This window comes from Homo sapiens, chromosome 7 (assembly GCF_000001405.40).
Source record: "Homo sapiens chromosome 7, GRCh38.p14 Primary Assembly".
In the NCBI taxonomy this organism is placed as follows: Eukaryota; Metazoa; Chordata; class Mammalia; order Primates; family Hominidae; genus Homo; species Homo sapiens.
Window position 1 is genome coordinate 116,878,138 of NC_000007.14, and position 20,082 is coordinate 116,898,219.

A 20,082-nucleotide genomic window follows, 5' to 3' on the forward strand; every position below is an offset into this window, starting at 1 on the left:
TAGATAAATTATAGTTAGAAAAAGGATAGGATCTTTGTCTTGAATGAGGTTATGATAGGTGTGTACATTTGAGAGTTACTGTGTGGTGATGATGGAAGCAATGGAAATGGATTACCTAGAGATTTATTTTGTTCCTCACAAAAGAATCGTCATAGAAGACTTACGCTGTATTGGGAGGCAGCTATGTAAAAAGCTGAGGACTTCATCCAGAGACTTCATTCAGATCTTAATTCTGGATCTCTGTTTTCTCTTTCATAAATTAAGGGTAATATCAGCTATATCAGAATAATCATAGATAATATTTTATTAGGGCCTGAGGTATAAGAGTTGAGAAATAATGATGCATGTCATCTCCCTTAGTTTTTACCTTTGAAAACTGAGGTTTACAGAAGTTAAAATAGAAACAAAATCTTGGCTACAGATCATTTGCCTTTACTTATGTAAAGCCCCACATCTTAACTGCGCATTGCCACCATCTTTCTCTCCTGTGTTGCTATTACTGGTGTTTGAAGTGAGCAGGGTCAAGTGGAGGGGGAAGGGTGACATCCCAAGTAAGAAGAAAGGATGTTGATGTATGGGAAGTGAATGCACTGCAGACAACACAGTAATACATGGGCATAAGCCACTCTTGAACAGTGTAGGACACAAAGAAACTAACATATAATCACTTGAAAATGTCTGTATTCCAGGTCTATATTTAAGAATATTGGCCAGGCGTGGTGGCTCACACCTGTAATCCCAGCACTTTGGGAGGCCAAGGCTGGTGGATCACGAGGTCGGGAGTTTGAGACCAGCCTGACCAACATGATGAAACCCCATCTCTGCTAAAAATACAAAAATTAGCCGGGCATGGTGGCACGTGCCTGTAATCCTAGCTACTCAGGAGGCTGAGGCAGGAGAATCACTTGAACCCAGGAGGCAGAGGTTGCAGTGAGCGGAGATCGTGCCACTGCACTCCAGCCTGGCGACAGAGCATAACTCTGTCTCAAAAAAAAAAAAAAAAAAAAAAAAAGAAAAGAATACTGGGACTATGCTAATGCAGGCATACTTCTTATCTACTGCTATTGCTGCTAATAATAATAGCTAATATTATTTATTCACCCAAGGTCACATCGCTAATGACTAGTAGAGGTTAGAAATCCAGCCTGGGTCAGTCTGGCTCCAGAGATCATACTGTAAACCATTACACCAAACTGTTTCTTTTTATTAGGATAAGTTTTTGTGATTTTTGAATGTAAATTATTTGAAAATTAACAATCTATCTACAGCAGCAGTCCCCAGCCTTTTTGGCACCAGGGACCCATTTCATGGAAGACAATTTTTCCACAGGGGATAGCGGGGTGGGGATGGATGGGGGAATGTTTTGGGATGAAACTTTTCCACCTCAGATCATCAGACATTAATTAGATTCTCATAAGGAGTGCACAAACTAGATCCCTCGCATACACAGTTCACAATAGGGTGTGCATTCCTATGAGAATCTCATGCTGCTGCTGATCTGACAGGAGACAGAGTGCAGGTGGTAATGCTTGCTTGCCCACTCCTCACCTCCCTGCTGTGTGACCGGGTTCCTAACAGGCCCCAGACTGGTACCTGTCTGTGGCCTGGGGTTTGGGGACCCCTGATCTACAGAATTGCATTAGTGATAACTCTCAAAATGTTCATTTCATTGAAATACTACATTCCCTCACCATTTTGAATAAATAGGAATTTATTCGTGCTTATAGATTTATTCAACCTGTAATCAGTAGCTACTGAGTACAGAGTATGGGGCAGAGGAAACAGATTCTGCCTTGAAGGGAGATTTAATGTTTATTTATTCAGCTAATATTTGAGGGTCTGCTATTTGCCAGGCACCATTCTAAGCACTCAGATATGGGAGTATATAGGCAGTTTCTCCCGCTCTGATTGATTTTTTTTTCTTCCCAGACTAAGTCAGTGCTACACTTTGAGGATTTTGAAAGCAGAGGGCCTGGAAAGTTGGCCAATTTTTTTTTAAAGTAAATGAAGGTAAATATATTTAACCATAGATGCCATATCAAAAAAGTACTCATTTGTCTTGCTTTATTATAAAGTCTAAACTAGAACAGTTTATTTTTGAGTTTCAAAAATCATGAGTTGGTTCAAATAATTGTAAACTTACATTTTAATTAATCAGAACTCAAGTAATTAGAATCCTCTATTTAATCCAGAATTATTTAACTTGATTTTAAGGGGATGATGGCTCATTGTGAACTGCAGCAATGCCTACTAGAATTTGTTTTTGTTTTTGTTTTTTGAGAGGGAGTCTCACTGTGTTGCCCAGGCTGGAGTGCAATAGCGTGATCTCGGCTCACTGCAACCTCTGCCTCCCGGATTCAAGCAATTCTCCTGCCTCAGCCTCCCAAGTAGCTGGGATTACAGGCACCTGCCACCGTGCCCAGCTAATTTTTGTATTTTAGTAGAAACGGTTTTTTACCGTGTTGGGCAGGCTGGTCTTGAACTCCTGACCTCAAGTGATCCACCCGCCTCGGCCTCCCAAAGTGCTGGGATTATAGGCATGAGCCACTGTAACCTGCCTTTTTTTTTTTTTTTTTTTTTTTTTTTTTTTTTTTTTTGAGACAGTCTTGCTCTGTCGCCCAGGCTGGAGTGCAGTGGTGTGATACGGCTCACTGCATCCTCCCAGGTTCAAGCGATTCTCCTGCCTCAGCCTCCTGAGTAGCTGGGATTACAGGTGTCCAGTACCACACCTGGCTAATTTTTGTATTTTTTAGTAGAGACAGGGTTTCTCCCTGTTGGCCAGGCTGATCTCCAACCCCTGAGTTCAGGCAATCTGCCCACCTTGGCCTCCCAAAGTGCTGGGATTACAGGCGTGATCCACCACAGTGACCATGGAAAGTCTTTAAAGTCAGTTGGTGAGGAGGATTAGAATATTAATTTGCTTTCACATTACTTACATGGATATTTTTGTAGTGTTAACCAAAGCCTCTATTAAATTCTAGAATAACATCACTTCTTGCTGCCTGCTAATATTATTGAATATTTAGGGCTTTCTTGAGGAAGTCACATTCTTAACAATTACTACTTGAATGATGACTGCTAACTTCTTTTTATCCATATAACAGTATAATAAAAAAGAAATAGAGCCCTATCGCACATCAGACACAAAAATCAATCCTGGACAGATTGAAGAACTAAGTACAAAGAGCAAAACTTTAAAGTTAGAAAAAATACAGGAGAAACCATGCAACCTCAGAGTAGAGAAGGAATTTTTTTCCCCAGTCTTTAAATACTTGACTGTATTCAGGGCATTCTTTTACAAAACTACAGTACAATTATCAGGCTGGGCACAGTGGCTCACACCTGTAATCCCAGCACTTCGGGAGGCCAAGGTGGGCGGATCACGAGGTCAGGAGATCAAGACCATCCTGGCTAACACGGTGAAACCCCGTCTCTACTAAAAATACAAAAAATTAGCCGGGCGTGGTGGTGGGTGCCTGTAGTCCCAGCTACTTGGGAGGCTGAGGCAGGAGAATGGCATGAACCCGGGAGGCAGAGCTTGCAGTGAGCCAAGATCGCACCACTGCACTCCAGCCTGGGCAGCAGAGTGAGACTCTGTCTCAAAAAAAAAAAAAAAAAAAAAAAAATTACATCACTAATGCACCTTCCCCTCCACCCCCGCCCTGGTCCAGGATCTAAACCAGAATCACATTGAATTTTGTTGTAATGTCTCTGGTCTTGCTTAATTTGGAACAGTTTCTCAGCATTGTTTATTTTTCATGACCCTAACTCTTTTGAAGAGTACAGACTGATTATTTTGTAGGCTGTCCCTCAAGTTTAGTTTGTTTCCTGATAATTAGATTCAGCCTATGAATTTTTGGCAGGAGTGTCACAGAAGTGATATGTTCTCAGTATATACTCTCAGGGGGCACTTGATGTCAGTTTTTCAGTTTTTCTTATTACTGTTGATAACTTTGATCATTTATTTGGTAAAGGTGGTGTATGGCGAGTTTCCTCAATGTAAAATTACTATTCTTTAGTAATTAAGTGTCACCTGGGAAGATACTTACAAACAATGTAAATATCCTGTTGTTTTATTATTCTGCCCACCAACTTTAGCCTCCCTTGATGATTTTTTGCTTGCTAGAATTACTGTGGTGGTCACCCAAGGTGGTTTTCTAATTCAGTCCCTCCTTTTACATTTATTAATTGGAATTCTATGATGAAGGGCTTTTCATTTTCCTCCATTTGTTAGTTTATTTCTTTATGCCAGTATGGACTCATAGATTCTTGTTTTATTCTGTGGGTTACCATTCATTACTACCATTATGGAATGGGTTGCTTGAAGAATTATTATTATTATTTTTTTTTACAAAAAAGTAAGCCCATAAGAAAAACAAGATACGAAAAAATATTGTTTGACAGTAATACGTTTGTATTGTCTCAGACAGTTGATGGGCAGAAATTATTTTTTTTCTCAGGGCTCACATGTATTTTGGATATTTTTTGAACACCCCAATTTTATCTTCTGTATAGGTCACTTTATAGTGACTAGTGATGTGTGCTCTTCTACAAGAAGCGCAATAGAATGGAGCATATTTTTTATGTTATATTTGTTACTTATGTGTATATTTCATACCACATAATATTTGGAATCAAGAGAAAAAATGTAATTTCAAGATTTAACTCAGGTTATACTTGAATCTCTATAGGTTAACTTTTCAAAACCACTCTATACTTCTTGATGTGATTGTTGTGAGGTATGCTTGTCAGCTGCCAGGGACTTTATCATGGAGGGATAGAGTTAATCTCCCACCTGTAGCCACTGGTCCCCAACAAAACCATGCCCCGAAAATCCAGAATTAGATTAGAAATAAAATAAAACTAATAACTCTTTCGTGATTTTGACTCCAGTTTGTCCAGAATTGACTTTGAAGAATAACATGTGGAGGAAGATGGTGGATAAGGAAAAAAAACATTTAGCAGTGGGCCTAGAAATGTATCTAATAACTCACTAGATTCTTTTTAAAAAGCTATAATTCCCAACGGTAAATAGAATGTATTCACTTACCCTCCATGTTTGTTAGATAAACTTTAAGGAAATACATTTGTAATTATTTTCAGAAATTCTACTCTTGGGACCTACCTATTGTTAACTGGTATTTTTTTTTTCTTTTTTGCATTTAGAAATGAGCTAGAATAAATAATTTTTAAAATTAAAGTCAGCGAGGAGGAATGTTGAGTCTGTAGCAGTGGATAAAAAATACCTGGATGGTTGAACAATATCTTCTTAGGAAAACAGTCAAAACTTTTACTGTGAGAGACATCCTTTCTTTTGTCTAGGGCCTGAGAAATCCAAAGGTCAGATTCTTACCTTTTGAAAATCAGAAAGAACCAGATTAAAGTATTTCAGGCACGGCTGGTTTAATCCACATTGTGTTTGGGGTTCTCAGCCAGTCTGCTCCCTTGACCTCCCAACCCTTAGTGGTACTTTTGACCCACCATTCACTTTGGATGTTGTGGAAGTCCAGTAATACCTTTTGATTACTGTGTACATTTAGTGCAACAGCAAGGGCAAATAAGTTCATAGGATAAAAATGCAGTACAGATCATTTTTGCTTTCTTGGTGAAAACCCAAAATAGAGCTGACGAAAATTCTAAATGGTATATTGCCTTTTTTGGAAACAACTAAAATTTTTAAAGCTCAACTAGTTAAATGCATTACTAAATATGCTATATGTGTGCTGCTTGCTATCAGGAATTTAATTTAGCCAGTTTTATAGGTAGTGTTTGTATAAGTCATTAGGAGTATTAAAAATAATTACCTCAAAATTCTAAAAGTGTTCTGTTATCACATTTTTAATTTTTGCCTGTGATAGTGATCAAGACTTCAGTATAAATACTTCCTAACAACTCCTTCTCTCAATAGGAAGGGGATGGGGCAGAAAGGGGATAAGGAAATGAAGATACTTACGTAATCATAATAGACTCCAGTGTATGTTTGGCATGCACAATGGCCTATACCCTACTCTCTCCTTGCCTTTTTAAAATTGCTATTTATACTTTACATTTTAATAGTACTCTTAAACGTTTTAGAAGCAATATGTTTTGAAAACACATAAAAAAATTTATTTTTTCAATTAGCATATAGTGAGTACTCTTTTTTGATGACTTTTAGCACATGTATAGATCAATGTAATCACTACCAAAATCTAGATACATACTAGTACAGTTCCATCCACCCCAGAACTCTGTTTCTTTTTCCTCGTCTCATTTCTCTGTTTGTAGTCAAACTCTTCCCCTTCCCCACCCCTCAGCTTCTAGCAACCATTCATCTTTTCGTCATTGCTCTAATATTGTTTATTTGAGAATGTCATATATAGGGAATACTGTAGAGTTACTATGTAACCTTTTGAGATTGACTTATTTCATTCAGCATAATGCTTTTGAGGTTCATTTCAGTTGTCACATATATTAATGGTTTGTTCGTTTTTATTGCTGAGTGATATTTCATTGTGTAGATATACCATGGTTTATTTGTCTGTTCACCCATTTATGGACATTTGGGTGGTAGATTATTTCCAGTTTTGAGCAATTATGTATAAGTTTTTATATGAAAATAAGTTTGCATTTCTGAAGGGTAGATACCTAGGAGTGGGATTGCTGTGTCCTGTGGTGTGTGCTTGCTTAATTTTATAAGAAATGGCCAAACTGTTTTCCATACTGGTTGAATGATTTTGCATTTCCACAGAAATGTATGAGAGTTCCTGTTCTGCATCCTCACCAGCACTGGGTGTTATGTCCTTTTTATTTTAGCCATACTATTAGGTATGTAGTAGTATTTCGTGATTTCAATATTCATTTCTCTACTGACTAATGATATTAAGCATCTTTTTGTGCATTTATCTGTCTTATATATACTCTTTGGCGGCGAAGTGTCTATTCAAGTCCTCTGCTTACTGTTTTCTTACTTTTGGAGTCTTGTGGGTACTTTATATATTCTGAATAAAAATCCTTTGTTGAATATGCCATTTGATAATATTTTCTCCAGTTTGTAAACTTGTCTTTTCATTCTCTTAACAGAAGTCTTCCACAGAGCAGGTTTTACATTTTGAATAAGTCCAGCTCACTAGTTTTTTTTTTGTTGTTGTTGTTGTTTTTAATGGATCATGGTTTTGGTATCATGTCTGTGTGTGGACAAAACACCTATGTTTTTTTTTTTGTATTCTCCCACTCAGCACAACAATCAACACAGAACACTTCTGTGACCCAGTGTTTGGTGGGGAGAGGTGGGAGTCCCCCACCAAAAATCAAGCAATCAGTTCTACAGCGGACACCAGCTGGGTGTCATGTAATTTAACTCCAATACCATCTACCTGGAGATAGTCACATCCCACAGGTGGAGGGCTGAGTCCCCAAGATTGCTCCTTCCCCCACTTCAGACACCAGTCACAAGTCCGGGCATTAGGAACTTCTGACTGACCAGCTATAGATCCAGATTCTCAGAACCCCCTTTTCAGGTTCAATAATTTGCTAGAGTGGCCCACAGAACTCAGGGAAATGCTTACTTACATTTACCAGTTTATTGTAAAGGATACAGATGAAGAGATGCATAGGGTGAGGTATGGAGGAGGGGATCAGAGCCTCCATGCTCTCCCCAGGCACACTACCCTTCAGGAGCCTCCATGTGTTCAGCTCTTCCGAAGCTCTCCAAACCCTCTTTATGGGTTTTTATGGAGGCATTATTATGTAGGCATGATTGATTAAACCATTGGCGACTGGTAATAAACATAACCTTCAGCCCTTCTCCCCTCCCTGGAGTGGAGGTTAGGAGGTGGGTCAGAAGTCCCAGCCCTCTAATCTTGCCTCCTCTTTCAGTGACCAGCCCCACCCTGAAGCTATCAGTCAACATTAGTTTGGAACACTAAGAAGTTTGAAGCAGAATCTATGATTGATGTCAGATACCAGATAGATAACAAAAAGATGATAAGATGATAACAAAAATGGTATTTAAATTAGTGCTTACCAAGTACTTTAGATCATTTACTCTTCCCAAAAATTCTATGAGCTAGTTACTATTTTATATGCACTTTTTAGGTGAGATAGCTAAAGTAGAGGAGATTAGGTAACTGTCAGTCTGATTCCAGAACCTAAAGTTCTATTAATTACAAAATGCTGCTTCTCAAGTTCAAAACTACAAACATTCCCTTTGTCTTAAATAGATGTTTTCTAACCTTTTGAAGGCCTTGTCATACATGTGACCTCTAACTAGGAACATCTTCATTCTAGCCATCTATACCTTTTTTCCATGTTTCTCTCCTCTGAAAATGGTATCTGTGCTTAGATACATGTACATGCACACATAACACATACACAAACACACACAGCCATTTCCTTTTCTTTCCATTATTTTTAGTTTCTACATCAAAGCAATGATAGTGCTATCAAAGTGGTAGATATAAAAATAAATCAAGGCTTTGTTTTTGCCAAGGATGGTCCCTTCATACAGTGAGTACTTGAATGTGCATAAAAATCACCTGGAGATGTTGTTTAAATGGTGTTTCCCAGGACCTGTCTCCAGAGATTCTGATTCAGTCAGTTGGTCTGGGGCCAATGAATTTGCACTTTTGACAAGGTGCTGCTGAGGCTGCTTGCCTAAGGACTACACTTTCAGGGACACTACCTCAGCTTATTCACAGGTACCATGTAGTGTGATTGGATGGCTCCTATACATAAGGTGCTTTCACTAAACTATTATGTTGGGCACATCATCTACCCTCTCAGATATATTTTCATTAGTGATTAATCTCTTTATCAAAATAGGCTTTATTCTCTTAAAATATGCCTGTTAGCACACCTGTTGATGTTCAATCTCCTACTTGTCTTTGAACTAAGATTTCCTAAGATCTGGTCAGGTCTCCTGTTAAACCTTTTGAACTTAAACTTTTCCTTTCTCCTTTTTTTCTACATGTTTTACTAATTTGTGAGTTTTTAATCAAATATGTATGTCATTGTTCTTCATTTTATTTATGCCTAAATGCGTCTTGTCTTCACACATAGAAAATTTTGTCATTGATTTTTTTTTCACTTTAGTTTAGAAGAAATAAAATTCCTTATAAGAAATTGTTGGCCAGGTGTACTGGCTCACGCCTGTAATCCCAGCACTTTGGGAGGCTGAGATGGGAGGATCCTTTGAACTCAGGAGTTCAAGACCAGCCTGGATAACATAGTGAGATCCCTTCTCTATCAAAAATACAAAAAATTATCCAGGTGTGGTGGCACGTGCCTGTAGTCCCAGCTGCTCAGGAGGCGGAGGTAGGAGGATGGCTTGAGCCCAGGAGGCAGGGGTTGCAGTGAGCCAAGATCACACCACTGCACTCCAGCCTGGTGACAGAGCAAGACCCTGCCTCCAAAAAAAAAATGAAATAAAATAGGCCAGATGTGGTGGCTCACACCTGTAATCCCAGCACTTTGGGAGACTGAGGCAGGCAGATTATTTGAGGTCAGGAGTTGAAGACCAGCTTGGCCAACATAGTGAAACCTCATCTCTACTAAAAATACAAAAAATTAGCTGGGCATGGCGGCACGCGCCTGTAGTCCCAGCTACTTGGGAGGCCAAGGCAGGAGAATCACGTAAACCCAGGTGGCAGAAGTTGCAGTGAGCTGAGATTGTGCCACTGCACTCTAGCCTGCGTAACAGAGTGAGACTCCATCTCAAAAAATAAAAAATTAAAGTTAAATAAAATAAGAAATTGTTTATCTGTAAGCAGCTTTGAATCTTTATTCATTCAGTATTGTATATTTTATCTACATTCAGTCTGTATGTTGTGATTATATTAAATTATTGAAACAGTAGTGATCTTAAGGTGATTGAGTGAAAAAGTATCACTGTATTTAAAATCTTAAGCCATTTTCAGTAGAGCTTTGAAATAATATAATTTTGCATGTTTTGTGCTTATTTTAGCAGAAGCCTGTGATATGGAACATTTATATCTTTCTTTCTGTTTCAGGTGCGTATAGCAGCAAAATTCATCATTCATGCCCCTCCTGGAGAATTTAATGAGGTTTTCAATGGTGAGTGTTTGATTTATAACACTAGGCTTGATATATCAAGCCCTCTTTTTAAAAGAAAACCAAAATAATCAAAATAAGCTAAGGACAGTATGCAGAAAAATCTGTGTTTTCTGAATTACAATGACAATATGTTAGTCTGGATTTTGTAATGGCTAGAATATAATGTATTTATTTATATATGATGATTCTGTTAGCAAATTAACCCTTTTAAAGCCTGAAATAAATTTTATTCATATCACTGACTAGAATATATCCTCATTCTGGGAAAGGAGAGTCTTTTTGGTAAATGGTTTTATTTAAGTAAAACTATAAACGCATATAGTAGATATTTCTTCAATAGAACTCTTAAATAGTTTAAAAAGACAACAGGCCAGGTGCAGTGGCTCACTCCTGTAATACCAGCACTTTGGGAAGATGAGGCAGGCAGGTCACTTGAGACCAGGAGTTCGAGACCAGCCTGGGCAGTATGGTGAAACCTTGTCTCTACCAAAAAAAAAAAAAAAAAAAAAGCCAGGTGTGGTGGCATGCTCCTGTTTTGAGAGGCTGAGGTTGGGGAATCATTTGAGCTCAGGAGGTTGCAGAGAGCCGAGATCACACCCATTGCACTCTAGCCTGGGCAACAGAGTGAGACCCTATCTCAAAAAAACAAAAACAAACAAACAAAAAAAAGTTTCATCATGACCATATATTTTTTGGAATTGTGAAAGGAATTTTTGTATTTCTTTTAAAGAAAATCCTATGAGATCGGTATGAATAGCCAAAAGAAAAAGGGAAAAAACATTTTCATCCTGCATAGAGCATGATAGCACATGTAAAAACAATTTGTTATTTAAATTATGTCTTGTAAATCACTTCACAGTATGCGTTCCTTTAAACTTCACTGGCAGACGTTTTTATAATTATTCACCCATAGATCTGAAATTTAAACTGCTGTAAAGTCTCCTGGTTACTATAGACTGTAGCAATAGCTGCTCCTCAGCAGTAAGAACAACATGCCTGAAAGAAAAATGGCCTGTAGTGATCTCTTTATAAAACTTCTTAAGTAGTTAGAAAAATACATTACTTTCAAGTACTATCTATAAATGTGTTGTTGTTTCTTCTTCATATACATTTGAACTTCACCGTGTCTTAAAAGTGAATTTACACAGAGCTCTTCAGTTTCCGTTTTTTAAACATTCTACTCCATAGTAAACTAGTTAAATGTTTTTTAAGAAGTTTAATCATTTTTTTTTCTTAGTATAAGATATAGGACTGGGCACTGTGGCTCACTCCTGTAATCCCAACACTTTGGGAGGCTGAGGCAGGAGGATTGCTTGAGGCTGGGTGTTTGCGACCAGCCTGGGCAACATAGTGAGGCCCCCCTCCCCATCTCTACCAAAAAAAAAAAAAAAGATATAATGGAATCTCACCTCAGAAAAGATTAGTTTTGAAAGTCAGAAAGTGAGGCAAAAGTTGTATAAAGTTAAAATTACCCTAGAAATCCCTGAGGTCATCCACAAACTACAATAATACATGATTTAGTGCATACAATTACATATGGCAGTTCTTATGCATTTTAAAATTTAACTACTGAGCTGTACTTAGAAGGCAGAATGGAGAATTGGCATTGTAAAAAAATCCAGAAATTAAAATCTGCTGTTTAATATAACTACAAAATCTCATGTAGTGAACTAGGGAGTTGGAGAGAATTCAGAAGTACTTTTACTTCGTGTAAGATTTCACTTCTTTTTTAATATTCAGGTTCTGTAACCTACATATACATTAATACATTTGATGGTTGGGGGATTAAAGAAGATAGTCTCTTCCTCCTTAGGGTCAAAAAGTGGCATGTAACTTAAATTGATAATGGTGAGACTGCACTAAAGTCAGTAGCTTCCCAATTACAATTCACAGAGCCAAGAATAAACAGAATTTTAAGAAAAATTTTCTACATACTTTTCTTACCTTGAGTTAAATGCCCTGCATATTTAATCAGGAAAGTCCTAAAAGAATGTATGCATCCTAGAAATTGCTTTCCTAAGTCTCATTTAAAATTGACATTGAGTTAATATATTCTCTGTTGAGTTGTAGTAAATTTGGGCATTTAGGATGAGCCTATTAAATAGGCCTGGGTAGAGGGTAAGCTATGGAATAGAAGTGGGGATATAGGATTTATCTAATAAATTTTAACTGAAAGAATATTTAAGAGTTAGATAAAAGGGTGGGCATGGTGGCTCATGCCTATAATGCCAGCGCTTTGGGAGGCCAAGCCCGGTGGATCACCTGAGATCAGGAGTTCAAAACCAGCCTGGCCAACATGGTGAAACCCTGTCTCTACTTAAAAAAAAAAAAAAAAATATATATATATATATATATATATATATATATATATATATATACACATATATATATATATATATATATATATACACACACACACACACATATATACAAAAATTAGCAGGGTGTGGGTGGTGCATGCCTGGGAATCCCAGCTACTCAGGAGGCTGAGGCAGGAGAATTGCTCAAACCCAGGAGGCGGAGGTTACATTGAGTCAAGATCGCGCCACTGCACTCCAGCCTGGGTGACAGAGTGAGACTCTGTCTCAAAAAAAAAAAAAAAAAAAAAAGAGTTAGAAAAGAATTAAATATTTGAAGGTAAATATGATATGAATGTGATTATTTTCTATTTTTATTGAAAACCACAGTGTCAGAATGATTCCAAAAAGAGCCACAAAATTTTAGAATTACAAAGTTAATAAAACCTTAACAGTTAGATGGTTCCCAAATGCTGTTTCCTAGGCTGACTGTGTTAGAATCATCGAAACATGGATTTCTGGTCTTCATTCTCAAACATCTCAAACATATAGTCATAGATCTGGACTAGGGCTCTGAAATCTACATTCCTTACATCTCCTGTCCTCCACCCTGTGGTTTATGTGTTGCCTGACTTGGAGCCACAGCCTGATTTCTTCTTTAAGAGAAATATTTTATTCAAATTATCCTCTTTTTATTTCTTCTACTCTTCTTATGATAAAAGCATGGATTTATTATTTTTTTCCAGAGTAGAGCTGACAAATAGATCTTGTTTTTCAATCATTTACCCATTTGGAACTGGAATAGGCATACTGTCCATGCAATATCGCTGTTCATTATGTTTAAACTATTGATGATAAATTTATCAAATAGAACTTCCCACTTTGTGGGATAAAAATAACAGTAATTATAAATTTCTCTATTTTTTAAAATAGTTTTTTAGGCAGAAGCATCCATTGTTTAAAATCAGTTAATTTCAAAATTAAAATAGTATTATTTCAGTGGTTAGCAAAGGATATTGTTTTTTGTTTGTTTGTTTGTTTTGAGATGGAGTCTCGCTCTGTTGCCCAGGATGGAGTGCAGTGGCGTGATCTCGGCTCACTGCAAGCTCCGCCTCCCGGGTTCACGCCATTCTCCTGCCTCAGCCTCCCAAGCAGCTGGGACCCTAGGTGCCCGCCACCACGCCCGGCTAGTTTTTTGTATTTTTAGTAGAGACGGGGTTTCACCGTGTTAGCCAGGATGGTCTTGATCTCCTGACCTCGTGATCCACCCTCTTCGGCCTCCCAAAGTGCTGGGATTACAGGCATGAGCCACCACACCCGGCCAGGATATTGTTTTTTAAATAAGGACCTGTTGCTGAAAAGAGGTGAGGTATGTGAATAGGCAGTGGGTTTTTTCTTTTGAAATGGCTTTATTGTAAAAATGATTCATAGTCATTGTAAACTTTCCAAAGTACAAAAAAGAATCTAAACTTCACAAAAAATTCTACCTTCCAGTTCCCTGTTGTTCAAATGAATTACTTCAAACATCTCTCAACTAACAAGTATATTTAACAATACATAAATATGATAATATACATACTAAATTTTTCTCTTCCTGTTTATTATATTACAAATGTATTTCCATGTTGGTAAATATAAGTGTACATTATTTTTCATGGCTGCCTAGTTTCACACTCTATGTAAGAATTATAGTCTTTTTACATTTAACCAGTTTCTTAATGGAAGATATTTAGGTTGTTTGTGTTATTTTCATCTAATGAAAAATTAGAATACATTGTATTATTTACTTTATAATTGCAACTAAGTAAAATAGCCAGGTGCTTAGGAAAAATAATGAAAGAAAATACAGTAAGACTAGAAAAGAATTTGGTTTTTTGATGAGAGCCGTACGTGACTTTTTTCTTTTATGTTTTACAAAGTGCTTGGATTTTTTTCAATAAAAATGCTATTTTTGAAGTCACCTTCAAAAATAAGAATAATCCTAAATCTTTTCTGCAGACTTTAACATACCATATTTCCAGTGGAGCTCATCTCCCCTTTAGTTCCTTGGAGATACATTACATATAGCAGGGGTGTCCAATCTTTTGGACACATTGGAAGAAGAAGAATTGTCTTGGGCCACACATAAAATACACTAACAATAGCTGATGAGCTTAAAAAAAAAAAACTCACGATGTTTTAGAGTTTACAAATTTGTGTTGGATTGCGTTCAGAGCTATCCTAGGCCATGGGTTGGACAAGCTTGGATTTTAGTCTGCCTGCATTGACTGTTAAGGGTGTAAACAAGTATGTATTTCTATTTCATTCCCCTTCATATTTACTAACCAAAACCTTTTTTTTTTTTTTAATACTATGTTGTGTGTTTGGTTATTTTGGTCATGAGTGATATTTTGATCTTGCTTGTGTTTGGGGTGGGAGGTGTTAATACATCACCAAAACAATCTGCGTTCATTACATTCTTGAAACATATAACAATAATAATGTAGATAACATAATTGTTTTGCAGATGTTCGGTTACTGCTTAATAATGACAATCTTCTCAGGGAAGGAGCAGCCCAGTAAGTATTATTTATCATACTAACCTAACTAAAATGACATGGGAAAACGAGAGATGCTTTAAAAGTGTGTGGGGGTTTTTTGTGGGTTTTTTTGTTTTGTTTTGAGATGGAGTCTCACTCTGTCGTCCAGGCTGGAGTTCAGTGGTGCGATCTCGGCTCACTGCAACCTCTGCCTCCCGGGTACAAGCGATTCTTCTGCCTCAGCCTCCCGAGTAGCTGGGACTACAGGCGCGCACCACCACGCCTGGCTAATTTTTGTATTTTTAGTAGAGATGGGGTTTTACCTTATTGGCCAGGCTGGTCTTGAATTCCTGACCTCGTGATCCACCTGCCTCAGCCTCCCAGAGCTCTGGGATTACAGGCGTGAGCCACCACATCCGGCCTAAAAGTGTTTTTAAAGCACTAATCTCTGACATAGATATTTGCACATCAAGTTCAAATGTGTATGATTTTATATATCCTAGCCAGGGTAGGAGAAAAATATTTTTTATCACAGAAGGACTTAGAGGTACAACTATGACATGAAATTATTCACTGTGTGTCTAGCGGTGCCTTATACATTCAGTTAATACTGTATTTTGGCATTTGCAAAGTTGGAAGAAATTGTGGTTGCTACCATTTTTATGTAGATTTTGCATTTTCTTTTATGTTTGACCCTAATAGCTTTTGAGAGCTTTTAAAGTTGTGAGTTTATTTACTCATAAATGCCTAACGTAGTACCTGACACATACATGTACACTGAATTTTTGAGTGATTTAAAGAAGTAGGCAATTCTAAATCTTAATACATCGTCTTTGCACCAGTGACCCCAGCCATGACTTTTCGCAGCTATCCTGCAATTTCAGAGAAATAATTGATTCTCTCCCTACTTCTCCCAAAATAAGGTCTAGAGACTGTTATTTTAGGCTTACCGATTCTACTACTCATTTGAAAATGATGAAGTAGTGCATTCTTTCTTACAAAGAAAGTTTAGTATCCATCCAGTCAGTTACTTTTCATCCTAGTATAATACCCAATATGTAAAATCCTGACTGATGGCTGGGTGCGGTGGCTCACGCCTGTAATCCCAGCACTTTGGGAGGCCGAGGCAGGCGGATTACGAGGTCAAGAGATTGAGACCATCCTGACCAACATGGTGAAATCCCGTCTCTACTAAAAATAGAAAAATTAGCTGAGCATGGTGGCACATTCCTGTAGTCCCAGCTACTTGGGAGGCTGAGGCAGGAGAATCGCTTGAACCCAGGAGGCAGAGGTTGCAGCAAGCCGAGATGGCGCCACTGCACTCCAGCCTGGTGACAGAGCAAGACTCCGTCTCAAAAAAAAAAAAAAAAAAATCTGACAGGGAAAATTTCTCTGATTTTATTGTTAGAACATTTGAAGCCTTTAAAAAATAAAAAATGGCCTTTATGAAGGTAGAGGTTCAACAGACTTGTGGGCATATCTGCTTTTGCTTGTGATTAAAATTTCTGTTATTTATAGCAGTTTTTTAATTGTGGAAAAATACACATAAAACATACTATTTTACCCATTAAGTGTACAGATCAGTGGCTTTAATACCTTTATATTGTTATGTAATCATAGCCACCATCCATTTTCAGTACTTTTTTCATCTTTTTAAGCTGATACTTGAAAGCCCCAGGCAACCATTATTCAACTACCTATGAATTTGACAACCTAGGTACCTCTTATAAGTAGAATCTTATAGTATTTGCCTTTTGTGACTGGTCTATTTTACTTAGCCTAATATCTTCAAAGTTTATCCATATTGTAGCATGTGTCAGAATTTCCTTCCTTTTTAGGGCTAATAATATTCTGTTGTATCTGTATAGCACATTTTGTTTATCCGTTTATCTTCCAATGGACACTTGAGTTGCTCCCACCCATTAATTATATTAAAGTGCTTCATAGGAATCAGTGTAGTTTATCCTTTTGGTTTTAGTTAACAATTTATGAGTAAATGACCACTTGCTCCTAAATATTTTAAAGCTTATTGAAACTTTTTATATATTAAAGTAAAATTAATTTTCTTTATAATAATATAAAACATGTTGAGAAAAGTCTTATGGATGCAAAGGAAACATACAGCGTTTTTGAACAATACTTTCAAAGTAAGCTTTTCCTTTGTGTTCTCTATGTTAAATAAGTTGTGGGTTTCATGTGGTGCAAAAATGAGTGGATTTTTTTTAAGTCAAGAAATGAGAAACTTGGTAAGTCAGAGTACTATTCATATTTATATAAATAGCATGAAATAGTTATACATTTGACTCAAGATACGTGAAAGTATGGGACTTTTATTTGTCCAAAGAATTATTGATCTGTTAATGATTGTTAGATTTAATTTAAATAAATTATATTTGTTGTAAGAGAAATTTGAAGATGAGCTTCATTTCTCTTTTATTATAAACCAAATTTCTGGAACAGCTGTGATCCACACTTCATGTGCATTGTAACAGGAAATACATGATATTCTGATCTTTTAAGTAAACGAGTATTTGAGGACATCGGTAATTGTGATAAAATATGATGCTTATAGTATGACCCTCAGAAAAAACTCATCAAAACCTTTACTAGAAACTTCAGATTTTCTTTGCATGTAGTTATAATCTCAGTGAATGTTTGCTTACTAGTAAAAAAAAAAAAATAGTTTGATTGACTTCAGTAGTATGCAATTTCTCAAAACTCTCCATTTGAGTTCATGTTGTAGACATCTCTGGGTGTCTGTGAAGTACAGAATATATACTGTAAGTCACTGATTGACTTGACTTTAGAATGCTATTACTCTGGTTCACAGTGTCCTCTCTGTGAAATAATTTCTGAGCAAAAGTAGTGTTACCCTGTTCTTCATCCCACTTAGTTCTGAATTACTTTTGTCCTCAAAAGATAATAATTTGTTACCTATCATTGAGGCCATCCAAAACTACGTAACAAAAGCTTAGAAGGCATTATAAAAACATTTAGAATGTGTTCCAGTGGCAGTTTCACTAGGGTAAGTGTATAGCTATAGACTGTTTCTTTTTCACTTGCACTTTTTGATGTTGAATTTCTTTTATACAAATACATCTTTCCCACATATATGTATGTTTCCTCCTTTCCTCCACCTTTGCCTTGTTGCTTTATCTCCTTTTTTTTTCTTTGCCCTTTACCGTTTTTGTAGTGGGGAAAACATGACAATTATTCTTTAGAGTGGTTGTAATGGGACATCTTTACAAAAAGCTACCAACTCAGTATGTTTCAGAGCAAAATTAGCCATACTGAAGAGTTGGTATTGTCAAGTCAAGAACACTTTGAAACATCCAGAAATAGCTTTTTATTCAACAGACATTGCTAGACTTTGCTGTGATGATGAGATAAATAAGCCTTTTAGGGATTTTCCAGTGGAGAGTCAGACATGTTTAATATTAGACCAAGTGAAACGAAATACAATAGAGGCATGTGAAAGGGCTTTATAACCCAAAGGAAGAAATTTTGAATTTCTATTTAGAGGTGGTTTTTGAGCTGTTTTAAATGAACAGGATTTTAATAGTAAGAAAAATGATGTGGCTAAACTTAGGGAAGAGCATGGAGAAAAGTATAAGATACAACTTGATGGAAAGGGTATAAAAATCTAAATACAGTAACAGGTGACTTAGAAATTGATTGGGCGACAGAATTCTGCAAGAGCAGGGAGAACATTGTTTTTACCGTGTCTAGTAGAATGCTTAGCTTATAGTAATAAGAGCTCAGTAAGTATTTGCATAGATGGAGGGGTGGATGAAGGAATGATGAGTGGGTGCATGAAGTGAGTTTTATGACCTGAAGACACTTGAATTTATCTGGTCCAAACTACTGTTTTTGTATCTATAAAGTAAGTGAGGTGGCCTGTACTGGTTAATGATATGGTTGAAGCAAAATTTGGATATTATCACTCCTAGATGAGTACCTTTTCCACTGTACTGTGTAATTGTCACCATTTAACTTATTTTGAGCCTTTAAGATAAAATTTTAACCTATTTCATATTACTTGTCTCCTTTTCAGATTTCCTATTTTTCCTTTATCCCCTCCTCCCAAGTTAGAGGTGGATGGCGTTTTATATTACGGGCAATAAAAGGCTTTCAGTCCAGCCTGGGCCCAATTTACTGTTTAAACTTATTTAAATATGACCTTACTGGAAAATGAATCCAAAATTCTAATTGACTTGGTTTTAAACATACTTTTGGGATAAATCATTTAAGGATTAATAATGCCCTGGCTGTATTGAGTTTATTCTTAGGAAAATTACAGTTTTCGTGAATTAGGAAAATGAGAAGTGAATAGCTTCTTTTTTCTTTCTCACCCTTGTACACTTCTGTATTCAATGTCATCTTTTTTGAGCATGTAGTATCAAGAATTTGACAGCTAATAATTTAATTCTACTTTGCTATTTTTACATTTACTAGTCTCCTATTAACTCATCAGTAATGCTTTGTTCAACCAGGCTTTCCTTTCTAGAGGAGACTCAGGAGCTAATACCTGAAAATTCAGTGGACGCCTGGCCATCCCGAATAATCTGGAAGTTTCCAAGTAGATTAGAGATGTATTTCTGAGTTTGGAAATTCTCAGTATCCTTTCTGTTAAGTGACAGTGATTTCCCAGATTTTAGATTTAATTTAAAAATACAATTTTTAGATAATATTTTATACTCTTGAGAATTTTTTCTATACATATATATGGTAATGTATTATTCTTTACTCTTATGGAGTAGATAGAGAGTAGCTTTATTCTTGGATCCATCTCGTCACCATTTCCTACCTCACACTCTGCGGTTTTTAACCTTAGCAACTGCCTAACTGCTTTTTCTGGCTCTCGTTGCTCCACTGCCCAATTCATCATCTACACTGCTGCCAAATTAATCTTCTTTAGAAGTACTTCTGTGTTCTCCTTTCTCAAAAAGCTTCTGTAACTCTGCTCTGTCTCCCAAATAATTATTCCATCATTCAGAGCCTTTCAGTTCATTTCAGTAAGTATAACTGAACACCCGCTATGAGCCAGGCATTGAGCTTGGTGCTTTCTGTGATGTTGGACCTAACTTATTTTCTCAGGCATTTTGCTCATACGGTCACTCTGCTCTTTTCTGCCCATCCCTCCAATTTCCATAAACCAGAGCCTATCCAGTTTTTCAAGTCGGTTTTTCAGTATCACAGTTATTAAGAAATTA

The 20,082-nt window shown here is 36.9% G+C and overlaps 1 protein-coding gene across 1 annotated transcript in view; it reads left to right on the plus strand.

The window, feature by feature from the left end:
• CAPZA2 (capping actin protein of muscle Z-line subunit alpha 2) overlaps positions 1-20,082 on the plus strand; it is a 59,463-nt gene that overhangs the window by 15,551 nt on the left and 23,830 nt on the right. The window contains exons 2-3 of the mRNA NM_006136.3: positions 9,990-10,053; positions 14,857-14,908. Coding sequence (NP_006127.1) covers positions 9,990-10,053; positions 14,857-14,908 — 116 coding nt within the window. The remainder of the gene's footprint in view (positions 1-9,989; positions 10,054-14,856; positions 14,909-20,082) is intronic.